Raw genomic sequence first — 15,394 nt, 5'->3', positions numbered from 1 at the left:
GCAGGGTCATGAAGTTTTTTCTTCAGTGAAGGAGGAATACAATCAAGGGTTTTGTATTCAGAATGTTGTGCAATATTTTGGAATAGGACATTGGTGTGTTTAGAGATTTTAGTTTAAAAACAAAACAAAAAGATTGATCAAATCTGTACAGTTTCTATTGTTCCAGATTTTTTAAAGTTTGTATTAAAAGCATGATACATAATAAAAATAAATAAATAAATAAAACTAAAAAGTAAAATGAAATTCTTCATCTATGTTAATGGATTTGCCACCTTCTTTGCCATAGACTGGAATGACATCAGCTACCTGAGACCAAAATAAAAGTGTGGGTTGCAAACCCTGGCACCTACCTTTTTAGATTCCGCAGCCTGCAGTAGGGACTTAGCCTGTCTGAACCTCAGCTTCCTTCTTTCTTCTTCTTTTTTTTTGAGACGAAGTCTCGCTCTGTCACCCAGGCTGGAGTGCAGTGGTGCGATCTCAGCTCACTGCAACCCTCGCCTCCCAGGTTCAAGCCATTCTCCCGCCTCAGCCTTCCAAGTAGCTGGAAGTGCATGCCACCATGCTCGGCTAATTTTTGTATTTTTAGTAGAGACGGGGGTTTCGCCATATTGGCCAGGCTGGTCTCGAACTCCTGACCTCAGGTGATCCACCCGCCTCGGCCTCCCTAAGCGCTGGGATGACAGGTGCCCGGACTCAAGTTCCTTCTTTCTAAGCCTGTGGGCTCGGCCTCATCCCCTGAGCAAGAAAAAAGTCCCACCCCTGAGTTACTGGAAGCGCCCACCGCCATGCACTGAGGCTGTAGTGGGCGGGGCTCGGGGCAGCAGCCCGGCGCTCCTCGGGCCCCCAGGGGTCAGCGCCCTGCGGACCTAGCGTGTGCAGACGCTTAGCCTTCTGGGAGTTGTAGTTTCGATGACCCAGGCTTTGCAAGCTTTAGTCGCGGTGCCGGCGAGCGCGCAGCGCCCCCTGGGAGTCGTAGTTCCTAAGAACCAGGCGGGCCCGATGCGCAGGCGCAGTCCACCCCGGCCTGGTGCGCGGGCTCCTCCGCAGCAGCAGAAGTCTTGACCTTAGCTCGTCTAAGGAAGGAGGCACCAGGGTCTGCGTTGGCCCAGGAGGACCCGAGACTGAGTAGAAGCGGAGCCGACTGCACCAGGCTAGGAGGGGGCCGGCCAGCGCGTTCGAAGGTGATACCGGGAGGCGAGAGCAACGGTGTGTAGTGTGCGCGTGTTCCTGCAGGTGTGTGACCGCGTGTGAGCCCGTCCCCGAGTGCCATTGTGTCTGCACCTGTTCACTTAGCGGTGTCAGCCCGTATAGGTGTGTGACTGCCTGTGAGCCCGTCCCTGAGTAACACAGCGTCTGCACCTGGTCACTCGACGGTACCAGCAGGTGCAGGTGTGTGACTGCCTGTGAGCCTGTCACTGCATCTGCACCTGCTTACTCGGCGGTGCCAGCCCGTCACTGTGTCTGTACCTGCTCACTTGGCGGTGCCAGGCCGTGCAGGTGTGTGACTGGCTGTGAGCCTGTCCCTGAGTGTCACAGCGTCTGCACCTGCTCACTCGACGGTACCAGCAGGTGCAGGTGTGTGACTGCCTGTGAGCCCGTCCCTGAGTGTCACAGCGTCTGCCCCTGCTCACTTGGCGGTGCCAGCCCATCACTGTGTCTGTACCTGCTCACTCGGCGGTGCCAGGCCTTGCAGGTGTGTGACTGCCTGTGAGCCCGTCCCCGAGTGTCACTGTGTCTGCACCTGCTCACTCAGTGGTGCCAGCCCAGGCAGGTGACTGCAGGTAAAGGCATGTAACACTTTATCGGTGTGTTATGTGCTCGTTCATGTGAAGCGGTGTCTGCATATCACAGCATGTCACATACACGTGTGGCTGCCTTTGGGCAAGTCTGAAAGTTCTCCTGGATGTGAGGTGTGTGACCCCACGTGTGCATGTCTGGGTGTGCCGCCGTGTAGGCTGGCTCGGCCCGTGTGCCTGCCAGCACAATGATGGGTGACCTGGCTGTGCGAGCCTGTAGAGTGCCGTGCTGTCTGAAGTGTGTGCATCTGCACATGATGGAGACGCTGCACATGTGGGCTTTGGCTATGCTGGAGCTCTATCCACCGAGTGTGACTGCACATGTGTCCAGCCATCCCCTGTGGGTGTGTCCCAGTAATGGCCGGCCTGTGTGGAGCAGGTGGCATGTGTGACCTTGTGCGTCTCTGTGCACCTCTTCACACAGGGAGCTACGTGTGGGGCTGGGTGTGTGTGTAGCTACGTGTGCCCGGGACCCTGTGTGCATGTGTGAGTGTGGCTGCAGGTGATGGCTTCCCACCTGCCTCCTTGCATGGGGGTTAGGAGGGCGACTGTGTGTCCCTGGATATGGGTTTGGGTGTCTCTGCATGTCTGTGTGTGTCTGGGCAGGTATGATTGTGTATGACCCTGTGTGTGTCAGAGTGTGATGTAATGCATGTGTCTTCCTGTGATCTTGTGATATAATAAGAAATATATGTTTAATCTTTATCCCCAGCTCCTGGTACCAGAGCCCCTAAAACCCTTGGAATTTCCTGAGTGACAGGGGTAGAAGGAGTGTCTTCTGCAACTCTTAATAAGCCCCCTGCAACCACACCTGTGTTTATGCTAATGGAGGACTCCTGATAGGCCCCCAAGTACATTTATGCTAATGGAGGACTCCTGATAGGCCCCCAAGTACATTTATGCTAATGGAGGACTCCTGATAGGCCCCCAAGTACATTTATGCTAATGGAGGACTCCTGGTAGGCCCCCAAGTACATTTATGCTAATGGAGGACTCCTGATAGGCCCCCAAGTACATTTATGCTAATGGAGGACTCCTGATAGGCCCCCAAGTACATTTATGCTAATGGAGGACTCCTGATAGGCCCCCAAGTACATTTATGCTAATGGAGGACTCCTGGTAGGCCCCCAAGTACATTTATGCTAATGGAGGACTCCTGATAGGCCCCCAAGTACATTTATGCTAATGGAGGACTCCTGATAGGCCCCCAAGTACATTTATGCTAATGGAGGACTCCTGGTAGACCCCCAAGTACATTTATGCTAATGGAGGACTCCTGATAGGCCCCCAAGTACATTTATGCTAATGGAGGACTCCTGATAGGCCCCCAAGTACATTTATGCTAATGGAGGACTCCTGGTAGGCCCCCAAGTACATTTATGCTAATGGAGGACTCCTGATAGGCCCCCAAGTACATTTATGCTAATGGAGGACTCCTGGTAGACCCCCAAGTACATTTATGCTAATGGAGGACTCCTGATAGGCCCCTAGGATGGGCTGGTTGCCACGGGAGCTAGCCCTGATGAGCATTCCAGCCTTCAGCCAGCCCCTACCTCCTGGGAGGGGAGAGGGCTGGAAGTTGAGTTCATCACCGATGGCCAGTGTCATCACACCTATGTCAGTCACGCCCGTGTCATGGAACCCCCATAACCACCCTAAACTTAGGGTTTGCCGAGCTCTGGGGCTGTCGAGCACCCAGAGAGGGCATGGTGCTCTGAGCTCCTCCTTATACCTTACCCTGTGTGTCTTCCATCTGGCTGTTCCTGAGTTGTATCCTTTATTGGAAACCAGTAACCGTAAATAAAGCATGTCCCTGAGTTCAATGAGCTATGTGAGCAAATCACCAAACCCAAGGAGGGGTTGAGGCAGTTTTATGGTTGGTAGCTGCCTGTGCCTCCCAGTCAGAGCAGATTGGAGACTTGGTTGTTGGTGTGGAGAAAGCCCACGTGTCAGAAGTGCTGGGAGTAGACAGCTTTCTTCTACTGCCCCCAAGCAAGCCTGTGTCTCCCCTTGGGCTCCTTTGTGTGTGCACAACACCCAGGTTTACCCAACCCCGCTGTGAACCCACCTGCCCTCCCCCTACACACGAGGTGGGTACCCCTGCACACTCCGGGGATGCCGGTGGACGTGGCACCTGAGCCGACCCAGCCTGGCCCCCACCAGCAAGTTCTTACCAGCACACGTGACTTCCTGTGTGAGCTGACCCCCACCCCACTCTACCGCATCTCCCCTGCCTTGCACCTCAGTTGCTCTGTCCAGCCCCACCCCCTTTACCTTTCCTCTGCCACCCTTGTCACCATCCTGCCCTGGGACCTTTGCACTTGCTGTGTTCTCCACCCTGAACACAAACATCATCACTCCCTCAGGGTCTCCTCTTGTCCTCTTGCTGAGGCACACGCTGCGGGAAGAGCATGTCAGGCAGAAAGAATAGCCCACACAAAAGCCCTGTCTTGACCAGGTGTGGTTGGTGGTGCCTGCCTGTGATCCAAGCCCTTTGGGAGGCTGAGGTGAGAGGATCACTTGAGCCAGGATTCCCAGGCTGCAGCGAGCTATGATTGCAACACTGCACTCCAGCCTGAGCAACAGAGCAAGACCCTGTCTCAAAAAAAAAAAAAAAAAAAGCCCTATTTTAGGTCCTTTGGGGTGTGACGGAATGCCATACTCTGGTGGCTTAGAAACAGCATTTATTGGCCGGGCACAGTGGCACATGCCTGTAATCCCAGCACTTTGGGAGGCCAAGGTGGGTGGATCATCTGAGGACAGGAGTTTGAGACCAGCCTGACTAATATGGTGAAACCTCATCTCTACTAAATACAAAAAATTAGCTGAACATGGTAGCGCATGCCTGTAATCCCAGCTATGCAGGAGGCTGAGGCAGGAGAATCGCTTGAACCCGGAAGGTGAAGGTTGCAGTGAGCCAACATTGTGCCACTGCACTCCAGCCTGGGCACCAAGAGCGAAACTCTTATCTCAAAAACAAAACAAAACAAACAAACAAAAAAACAAAAAAAGAAAGAAAGAAAGAAACAGCATTTATTTCCACACAGTTCTAGGGGCTGGAAGTCCAAGGTCAAGGTGCCGGCAGGTTTGGTGTCTGGTGAGGGCTGCTTCCTAGTTCATAGACCGGGCCCTCTTGTTGTGTCTTCATTTGGAGGAAGGGGCAAGGGAGCCTTCTGGGTCCTCTTTTATAAGGGCAGGAATCCAACGCCTGAGGGCTCCAGCCTCATGTCATCATCACCTCCCAGAGGCCCCACCTCCTAGCACCACCACAAAGGGTTAGGATCTCACACAGGAAGTGGGGAGGACAAGCTTCAGACGTAGCCTGTCCAGCAGCAGCAGGAGTGTACCCGGAGGAGCCAAAGGCCGAGCACTCTCTGCTGTATGCACACAGCCTACTAGTTGGTTCAGGGAATGCCTGTGTGTGAGGGGCTGAGCCCACACATAACATGAGGCCAAGCTTGCTGAGAGACCTGCCATGTCCCTCGGGAGAAGGGGAGGCTGGAGCCCTGTTTAGAGAGAGAAAACCAGGCAGAGCCTCAGAGCAGGTAGCCACTTACCTGCAGCCACACAGCCTGGAAAGGACCTCCCAGCAGTGTGAGCCCCCTCCTCTGGGGCTAGCCCCAGCACAGTGGATCCACAGGCAGCTGCCTCCTTCCCTCTCTCAGCACCAGGAGGTCATTTGTCCATCTGTCTTCCCATTCTGTTAGAACTAAAGCATCAGAAGTCAGTGGTGAGTTTCTCGCCAGCGTGCAGGTCCAGTGTACACCAGGCAATTGGTATAAATCCTTCAGCATCACAGCCCCACTAGAAGTAACTATATGTATGGCTTCTGTTATGGCTTTCTAAAAAACAGTGACTTCCTGGGCTCATATAAAAACAGATCCCTGCTTTCCACTGAAAATGTGCAAAGCAGACAGGGTAACCTGCAATAGCTTGAGATCACCATCTCTAACGACCCTGGGCCCACGAGCCAGCATGAACCTCTGAGCCTGGGAGACCCTGGGCAGCTCCTTCACTGATGGAGCCCTGTAGAAGGGGAGCATAGTGAGTTGAATAGTGTCCCCATAATGTGAAATCTGGGATCACTGTTGGCTGATTCTGTCTGGTGAGGGCTCTCTTCCTGGTTTACAGATGGCCGCCTTCTCCCTGTGTCCTCACACGCAGAGAGGACAGAGAGAGCAGAGAGTAAGTGAGCCCCCTGGTGTCTCCTCTTATAAGGACGCTAATCCTATTAAGGAGGATGCCCTCATGACCTAATCATCCTCCAAAGGCCCCACATCAAACGCTGTCACACTGGGAATTAAAGTTTCAACTGATTTTTCCCCAGAAAAGAAAACTGTCTTTCCAGTTATCTTAGCTCCAGCTTACAAAAAAAATCACAGATTAGGTGGCTGAAGCAATAAACACTTATTTCTTCACAGTGCTAGAGGCTGGGAGTCTGAGATCAGAGTGCCAGCATGGTCAGACCACACTGAGGACTCACTTCCTGGCTTGCAGACGGCTGCCTTCTTGCCATGTGTTCACCTGACAGACAGCGAGCTCTGGTGTCGCTTCCTCTTCTTATCAAAACATTAGTCCCAGCCAAGCGCGGTGGCTCACGCCTGTAATCCCAGCACTTTGGGAGGCCAAGGTGGGTGGGTCACCTGAGGTCAGGAGTTTGAGACCAGCCTGGCCAATATGGTGAAACCCCCTCTCTACTAAAAATACAAAAATTAGCCGGGCATGGTGGCGTGCACCTGTAGTCCCAACTACTCAGGAGGCTGAGGCAGAAGAATTGCTTGAACCCGGGAGGCGGAGGTTGCAGTGAGCCAAGACTGTGCTCCAGCCTGGGCAACAGAGCAAGACTCCATGTCAAAAAAAAAATAAAACAGTCCCATTGTGGGGGCCCCACCCTCATGACCCCCTCTAAAGCTAATCACCTCCCAAAGGCTCCATCTCCACAAAGCATCACCTTGGGAGTTAGGGCTTCCATGTATAAATTTTGAGGGGGCACAATTCAGTTCACAGCACCAGATTACAGGGCCATATTTTAAGAGCTGACAGATTCATGCTTTTTTTTTCTTTTTCAGGGATCTTTTAAATTTGTTTTTAGTTCCATTAAGTCAGTGATTCCCAACTGGGGGCAATTTTGTCCCCAGGGGAGGGGACACCTGGCAGTGTCTGGAGACTTTTTAAAGAAAATTCAGACAGGGTCTCACACTGTCACCCAGGCTAGAGTGCAGTAGTGTGATCACTACTCACTGCAGCTTCAACCTTCTGAGCTCAGCTGATCCTCTTGCCTCAGCCTCCTGAGTAGCTGGGACCACGGGTGCACAACATCATGCCTGGCTAATTTTTTTTTTCATTTGTAGAAATGAGATCTTGCTGTGTTGCCCAGGCAGCAGACAGTTTGCTGGTCTCAAACTCCTGGGCTCAAGCAACCACCTGCCTTGGCCTCCCAAAGTGCTGGGATTGCAGGCATGAGCCACCACGTCCGGCCTGGAGACATTTTTCATTGTTACAACTCAGGGGTTGAGGGGTAGTGTCCCTGGCAGCCAGTGTGGAGAGACCAGGGACGCTGCTCAACATCTCACAACACACAGGATGGGTCCCACCACACCAAATTATTGGACCCAAAATGTCATTGGCACAGAGGTCCAGGGACCCCATGCTAAGTTCTTACCAGTTCAGCTGTTAGCCATTTTTCCAGCTCAGGACAAGTGGCAACATTTAATTTTTTTTTCTATCTTTTTCTTTTCAGACCCAGAGAAAAGATGTGAGATCAAGACAGCAGCCCAGGGATCGAGGATGGAGGGACTCTTGAGCGTCGCCCTCCAGGGCGCAGAGTTGGAAGGAAACTGGAAACACGAGGGCCAGGTTGAGGACCTGCAGGAAAACCAGGAAAGCTGTCCAGAGCCAGAGGCCGTGGCCTGCAAGGGAGACCCTGCTGGGGACAGCATGCAGGAACGCGATGAATTCAGCCGAATCCCAAGAACCATATCGAGCCCTGCTGCTACCCAAGCCAGTGTCCCCGACGACAGCAGTTCCCGGAGGTGCAGCGCGCCTGGGGAGAGCCCGAAGGAGAGGCATCCTGACAGCCGCCAGCGGGAGAGAGGTGGAGGCCCCAAGAAGCCGTGGAAATGCGGGGACTGCGGGAAGGCCTTCAGCTACTGTTCAGCGTTCATCTTACACCAGAGAATCCACACCGGGGAGAAGCCATTTGCGTGCCCCGAGTGCGGCAAGGCCTTCAGCCAGAGCGTGCACCTGACCCTGCACCAGCGCACGCACACGGGCGAGAAGCCCTACGCCTGCCACGAGTGCGGCAAGGCCTTCAGCCAGGGCTCGTACCTGGCGTCCCACTGGCGCACGCACACGGGCGAGAAGCCGCACCGCTGCGCCGACTGCGGCAAGGCCTTCACGCGCGTCACGCACCTGACCCAGCACCGGCGCGTGCACACGGGCGAGCGGCCCTACGCGTGCGCCCAGTGCGCCAAGGCGTTCCGCAACCGCTCGTCCCTGATAGAGCACCAGCGCATCCACACCGGTGAGAAGCCCTACGAGTGCTCCGCGTGCGCCAAGGCCTTCCGCTTCTCCTCAGCGCTCATCCGCCACCAGCGCATCCACACGGAGGAGAAGCCCTACCGCTGCGGCCAGTGCGCCAAGGCCTTCGCGCAGATCGCGCACCTGACCCAGCACCGGCGCGTGCACACGGGCGAGAAGCCCTACACGTGCCAGGACTGCGGCGCGCTCTTCAGCCAGAGCGCCTCTCTGGCCGAGCACCGGCGCATCCACACAGGCGAGAAGCCCTACGCGTGCGGCCAGTGCGCCAAGGCCTTCACCCAGGTGTCGCACCTGACGCAGCACCAGCGCACGCACACCGGAGAGCGGCCTTACCCCTGCCACGACTGCGGCAAGCGCTTCAGCAACCGCTCCCACCTCCTCCAGCACCGCCTCGTGCACACCGGTGAGCGGCCCTACAGGTGCCTGCAATGCGGGGCCGCCTTCAGCCACGTGTCCTCGCTTATAGAGCACCAGAAGATCCACACCGGAGAGCGGCCCTACAAGTGCGGCGAGTGCGGCAAAGCTTTCAGCCAGGGCTCCTCGCTCGCCCTGCACCAGCGCACGCACACGGGCGAGCGGCCCTACACCTGCCCCGAGTGCGGCAAGGCCTTCAGCAACCGCTCCTACCTGATCCAGCACCACATCGTGCACACCGGGGAGAAGCCCTACGAGTGCAGCGGCTGCGGGAAGGCCTTCAGCTTCTCCTCCGCGCTCATCCGACACCAGAGGACGCATGCAGACAGTTCGGGACGCCTTTGCCCAGCTCCCACGCCTGACTCAACACCTGGGCTCTCACAGGGAGGAGAAACCTGTCAACAGGGGTGCCCTGGCAGAAACCCGCGTGGACCAGCAGAAGATTAAGAGCTGAGGGCCTCCTTTCCAACCTCACAATGCTATGGGGGAGATACTGTGTTATCCCCGACGCTTCCTGTGAGGAAACCGAGGCTCAGAGAAGCTTGTTAACTTGCCTGAGGGCACACAGTGGGGAAGACACAGGGCTAAGACTGTACCTCACATCTGCCAGACTCCCCTGCGGTCTTCCTGGTGCAAAATTATAAATGGGGCACGGGCAAGTAGACCTGCAGAAACACCTATGGCTGGCCTTTAATTTCTTTCTTTTTTTCTTTGAGACAGTGTCTCTCTCTGTCACCCAGGCTAGAGTGCAGTGGAGCGATCTCGGCTCACTGAAACTTCTGCCTCCCGGGTACAAGTGATTCTCCTGCCTCAACCTCCCGAGTAGTTAAAATTACAGGAGTCTGGCTAATTTTTTTTTTTTTTTTTTTCTGAGACGGAGTCTTGCTCTGTCGCCCAGGCTGGAGTGCAGTGATGCAATCTCGGCTCACTGCAACCTCCGCCTCCCGGGTTCAAGTGATTCCCCTACCTCAGCCTCCCGAGTAGCTGGGACTACAGGCGCCCGGCCACCACACCCGGACTAGTTTTTTTGTATTTTAGTAGAGGCGGGGTTTCACCATGTTGGCTAGGATGGTCTCGATCTCCTGACTTCGTTATCCACCCGCCTCGGCCTCCCAAAGTGCTGGGATTACAGGCATGAGCCACCGCGCCCAGCCTAATTTTTGTATTTTTAGTAGAGGCAGGGTTTCACCATGTTGGCCAGGCTGTCTCGAACTCCTAACATCAGGCGATCTGCCTGCCTTGGCATCCCAAAGTGCTGGGACTACAGGCCTGAGCTACGGTGCCTGGCCAGCTGGCCTTTTCATTGTTGATTTTATTGAGTAAGCCCTTGCTCAGTAAATTTAATTGAATTAAAGTGAATAAAAGGTTTGGTTTCTTTGGCCAAGTTGGCATATTTACTAAAGGAGCAGAGTCTGAAGAAGAAATCTGGATTCACTAAGATAGAAATAGTGCTTAGAGAAAATGAGCAGGAGAAATCTAGAGCTGAAAGTTATTCTAGAAGAAGGGAGTGCTTCTCCTCTACAAAAGATTTTTAGAGTGGGCCTAGTCTTTTTTTCAGTATGAGGAAACACCTACCCATCTCCACCATTTTTCCCCCTAACTCAAAGACCTGACTTTAATGCTTGTATCAGTCAGCTCTTGCTGTGTAACAAACCATCCAGCCCTCATTTATCCATTTACTATTTCTCATGCATCTGGAGGTCAGCTGCTGGTTCTGTTGGTCTGGACCAGGCTTGGTCTGGACCTGGACCAGGAGGGCTCAGCTGGGCCAATTTGATCTTCTTCTCCTGACTCACATCTCACCTGGGTGTGTTCTCAGGGAGGTGGCAGGAGTCTGAGAGGGAGTGGACACACAGGCATGCTTTCAAGTCTCTGATATTGTCACATTTGCATCTAGTCCCACAGGCCAAAGCAAGCCTCCTAGCCAAGCCTAGGATCAGCACAGGAAGAGCCTTCCTAAGCATGTGGTCCCAGGGAAGGGTGAAAAGTAGGAGTTATGAACGTAATCCACCTACTACAATGTTGAATTAAAGTTATAATCTCATAACTTCACATGACTATAATCATTGGAAAATTATTTTATGGGGGAATACACTCATGTAGTCCACAATTTATAAAGTTAAAAAAAAAAACTGTTCTTACTCCTGTGTCTCCCAGCTACCAAGTCCCCCTCACTAGAAGCAAATGCTTACTATATGTAAGCATATATATGAATATTTATATGCATAGAATATTCTGGAAAGATATATAGTACACCTTTCTTCACAAATGGTAGCATATGATATGCAGAATTTTCTTCTTTTTTTTTTTTTGAGACGGAGTCTCGCTCTGTTGCCCAGGCTCTTTAGGGCCAGGGACCAAGCAGTTGGTTCTTCCCTTGGCTCCTGACTGACCACCCAGGCCTCAGCACACAGTAGGTCCTCAAGAATTGTCAGTGACAGTATGAAGAGTTATACATCCCCAGCACCAGCCCCGGAGTCATTCAGGGACAAGGACCACACATTTAGTTTCTCCTTAACCCCCTCACCCCCGACATCCCCCAGCCCAGGCCAAGCACACAGTAGGTCCTCAGGAGAGGCCAAGTAAATGGATGAACAGGTGAACATCCTCAGCACCAGCCCTGGAGCCCACAGGTTCAGGGACCAATCATTCTGGTTTCTTCCTGTGACCCAAACTTTGCTCAGCCCTGGTCTCAGCACACAGTAGGTCCTCAAGAAAAGCTGAGTGACCGAATGAGTAAGTTGAACATCCCACACCAGCCCTAGAGCCATTCAGAATCAGGGACCACAGAGAGCCGAACTTCGCCCAGTCCAGGCCTCGACACACAGTACGGGCTCAGACAGTGCCGGGTGAAAGGATGAATGCGTGAAATGCTACCCTAGTTTACAGACATGGGGCACAGTTTATCACCCAAGAGAGCAGCAGAAAGAGCTGGGTCAAACCCGCTCTGTGGGGAACTGGCAGGGCTGGGGGCGTGGTAGTGGGCATGATCGGCGTCCGTCCTCCGAACCCTTCCACCAGGACGTCGAGGAGACCCCGCCCAGTCGGAGTGCGCAGGTGCAGGGGGCTTGGCGCCTCTCCAGTGCGCAGGCGTCGGGCTGCATCCGCCGGTGAGAGCTTCCCGCGGAGCAGGGACGCCCATGGGCGGCGCCGCTGGAAAGTGTCTTGGGTGTGGGCAGATTGGTCTGCCGTGAGCGCCTGTTCAGTGGCAGAGCAGCAATAGGGAGGGGTGATGAGAATTTGCCATGAACCCCTCCTGCTGTAGAAAGAGAAAAGCACCCGGGAGGTTAGAGTCCTCTGAGTCCGTGGAGGAAAAATTATCCAAAATATTTCTGAGCTTCTGAAATGTAAGGATTGACAGATAAGGTAAAGAGGAAATGGACCTAGGATTCTGTGAACCCTCACAGCACTGGATGCCGAAGCTGCCCTCTGGTGGCAGCGTGCAGCCTTCTCATTAATCCCTCCCAAACCATCTCGCGGGTAATCGGGCTATTTCACTATGAGAATTACTAACCACAGGCCACATGACTGGCCCAAGGGGTGGTCCACTTAATCCCTGTGATTTTACTTCATTTTATTTATTTATTTGAGATGAAGTTTCACTCTTTTTGCCCAGGCTGGAGTGCACTGGCTTGATCTCAGCTCACTGCCTCCCGGATTCAAGTGATTCTCCTGCCTCAGCCTCCCGAGTAGCTGGCATTACAGGCACACGCCACCACGCCCGGCTAATTTTGTATTTTTAGTAGAGACGGGGTTTCCCCATGTTGGCCAGGCTGGTCTCGAACACCTGACCTCAGGTGATCCACCTGTCTCGGCCTCCCAAAGTTCTGGGATTACAGACGTGAGCCACTGCGCCCGGCCTAATCCCTGTGATTTTAGATTTGCCGTATTTACCAACTTCTAGTACTTATTTCCCCCTACACAGTGTTCCCTAGATACTATATTCAAATACCACCCTGGTCCAACCTGCCCTGTTAAAGGAAGAGACAGAGTGGCCAGGCGCGGTGGCTCACGCCTATAATCCCAGCACTTTGGGAGGCCGAGGTGGGCAGATCACAAGGTCAGGAGATCGAGATCATCCTGGCTAACACGGTGAAACCCCGTGTCTACTAAAAATACAAAAAATTAGCCGGGCGTGGTGGCGGGTGCCTATAGTCCCAGCTACTCAGGAGGCTGAGGCAGGAGAATGGCGAGAACCCAGGAGGCGGAGCTTGCAGTGAGCCGAGATCGCGCCACTGTACTCCAGCCTGGGCGACAGAGCGAGATGCTGTCTCAAAAAAAAAAAAAAAAAAAAAAAGCCAGGAAGAGACGGAGCAGCTTCAAGAGCATGGGGGTGGGGTCGTGTGGAGGTGCCACAAGCTGGTATGGATGTGTGAGGAGTTCCGGGGAGGCACAACCTGAACTCCACAGCCCTCTCCTCCCCCCATTCCATCTTCACAGTTCCTCCAGGGAGAACCACCCAAGGGGCAGGAATGGCCATTGAGGACGCTAGACTGGAACTGCATTGACCCATTACTTGTCAGGTCATGATACAATCTGTGAAGACGAGTAGAGCGGGACCTGCGGAGAGAGGTGCTACTTGAGGGTGGTCGGGGAAGGCTTCTGTGAGGAAGTGACATTTGAGACCTGAAGGAGATGAGGGAGCCATGGGAGCTTCTGGGGAAAGAGCATTCCGCGGAGCAGGAACAGTGCAAAAGTCCTGAAGTAAGCATGATAGGCGAGTTTGAGAAACAGCAAGGAGGCCAGTGTGGCTGCGTGGGAGGGAGCAAGATAAGGAGGAGGGAAGAGAAGCCACTTGGAATAGGGCTGGATGGCATTGTGAAGACTTTGGCTTTACCTGAAATGGGAGGATTATGAATGGTCCTAATTGTGTTATTGTTATTATTATTATTATTATTATTGTTGTTGTTGTTTTAGAAACAAGGTCTCTCTCTGTTGTGCAGACTGGAGTGCAGTGACACAGTTGTAGCTCACAGTAACCTCGAACTTCTGGGCCCAAGCGACCCTTTTGCCTCAGCCTCCACAGTAGCTGGGACTACAGGGGCACACAACCATGCCTGGCTAATATTTTTATTTTTATTTTTGTAGAGACAGGGTCTCACTATGTTGCCCAATCTGGTTGATTATGTTTTAATGGGATCTATCCAGCTGTCGGGTAGAGAATGGAACGTCAGTGGCTTGAGTGGATACTTCTGTCGTCAATGAAATTAGGTCCCTGGCATACTGTAGAGCTAATTAGAAGACCATTGCTAATGTGATTTATATTACTGATAGTATCATGATTCTTTTTTCTTTTCTTTTCTTTTTTCTTTTTTCTTTCTTTCTTTCTTTCTTCTTTTTTTTTTTTTTTTTTTTTTTGAGACAGTCTTGCTCTGTTGACCAGGCTGGAGTGCAGTGGTATGGCACAATCTCTGCTGCTCACTGCAACCTCCACCTCCCGACCTCCCGGGTTCAGGTGATTCTTCTGCATCAGCCTCCTAAGTAGCTGGGATTACAGGTGCCCACCACACCTAGCTAATTTCTTTGTATTTTAGTAGAGACAGGGTTTCACTATGCTGGCCAGGCTGGTCTCGCACTCCTGACCTCAAGTGAGCTGCCCACCTTGGCTTCCCAAAGTGTTGGGATTATAGGTGTGAGCCACCATGCCCGGCCATGATTATTTTCAATATTCCACAAAATCAGTCAAGACCTGTGGCACTGTCTGAGCTAATCAGAGCCCAGTTAGCCCCCCAACATCATCCCCTATTTTTCATTTTTGGGTGCTTTTTTTTTTTTTTGAGACAAGGTCTCACTCTTTCACCCAGGCTGGAGTGCAGTGGCCTGATCATGGCTGTCTGCAGTCTCAGCCTCCTGGGCTCAAGCAGTCCTCTTGCCTCAGTTTCCCTGAGTAGCTGGGACTACAGGTGCATGCCACCATGCCTGACAATTTTTATTACTATTATTTTTTGTAGAGACAGGGTCTGACTGTGTTGCCCAGGCTGGTCTCAAACTCCTAACCTCAAGTGATCTTCCTGCCTTGGCCTCCCTCCTGGGATTACAGGCATGAGCTACCATGCCCGGCCCATCCCCTGTTGACTGGACACCTAAGACAGTCTCCACACTTATCTCCCTGCTTCCGCCTTTGACCTGCTGCAGTCCATTCTCCATCCTTTACTTGGGCAGTCGGTTTATGTCTCAGGGCCTTTGCAGTTGCTGCTCTCTCTCCCCTAATTTCAGGACTCTTGTCCCCAAGGCAGAACAAGGATGCGAGTTGCAGGTGTGCGTGATGGGAATCTGCCAGGTCTCCCACCTTGCCGTGTGGAAGAGATGATCACAGGGTCCATGATAGCTGTCTCCAGCCATGTAGAAGGAAGAGAGGGAGGTGAGGAGAGGAAAAGCCCCAGTGATATTTTTAGGTCCCCCAGAACCAGCTGTAAATAAAGCCAATTTTATCCTAAACTTTGGTGTAACATGAACGAATAATAATAATAATTATTATTATTATTTTGCTTAAGCTCATTTGAATTGAGCTTCTCTTATTTCCAGTAGAATCTCAAAAAATGTAATAGTTAAGGCCTGTTTTCCTTTCTCTTAAGGGCTGGTTGCTTGTTGCAGGCAATCAGCCTGAGAGAGGAATGGAGAGATAATCCATACTTTTCCCTGTT

The 15,394-nt window shown here is 52.7% G+C and overlaps 1 protein-coding gene and 1 long non-coding RNA gene across 5 annotated transcripts in view; one reads left to right on the top strand and one right to left on the bottom strand.

The window, feature by feature from the left end:
* LOC105372473 (uncharacterized) overlaps positions 1-803 on the bottom strand; it is a 38,797-nt gene extending 37,994 nt beyond the window's left edge. For both annotated transcript variants that reach the window (XR_001754023.3, XR_936110.4), the window contains exon 1: positions 351-803. This is a non-coding gene — a long non-coding RNA (uncharacterized LOC105372473). The remainder of the gene's footprint in view (positions 1-350) is intronic.
* Positions 804-1,024: 221 nt separating this feature from the next.
* On the top strand, positions 1,025-10,802 carry ZNF835 (zinc finger protein 835). 3 transcript variants are annotated; one of them, XM_005259382.3, is made up of 2 exons: positions 1,025-1,181; positions 7,537-10,802. In XM_005259382.3, the coding sequence occupies exon 2, from the start codon at positions 7,584-7,586 to the stop codon at positions 9,195-9,197; it is 1,614 nt and encodes a 537-aa protein (XP_005259439.1). In that variant the 5' UTR covers positions 1,025-1,181; positions 7,537-7,583; the 3' UTR covers positions 9,198-10,802. The 3 variants fall into 3 exon arrangements, with proteins under 3 accessions (XP_005259439.1, NP_001005850.2, XP_005259440.1); NM_001005850.3 differs by having other exon boundaries at positions 1,025-1,206; XM_005259383.4 differs by having other exon boundaries at positions 1,025-1,233.
* The last annotated feature ends 4,592 nt before the right edge of the window (positions 10,803-15,394 follow it).

This window comes from Homo sapiens, chromosome 19 (assembly GCF_000001405.40).
Source record: "Homo sapiens chromosome 19, GRCh38.p14 Primary Assembly".
Lineage (NCBI taxonomy): Eukaryota > Metazoa > Chordata > Mammalia > Primates > Hominidae > Homo > Homo sapiens.
Note: the sequence above shows the minus strand (reverse complement) of the source record. Positions and strands in the feature narration are given on the sequence as shown.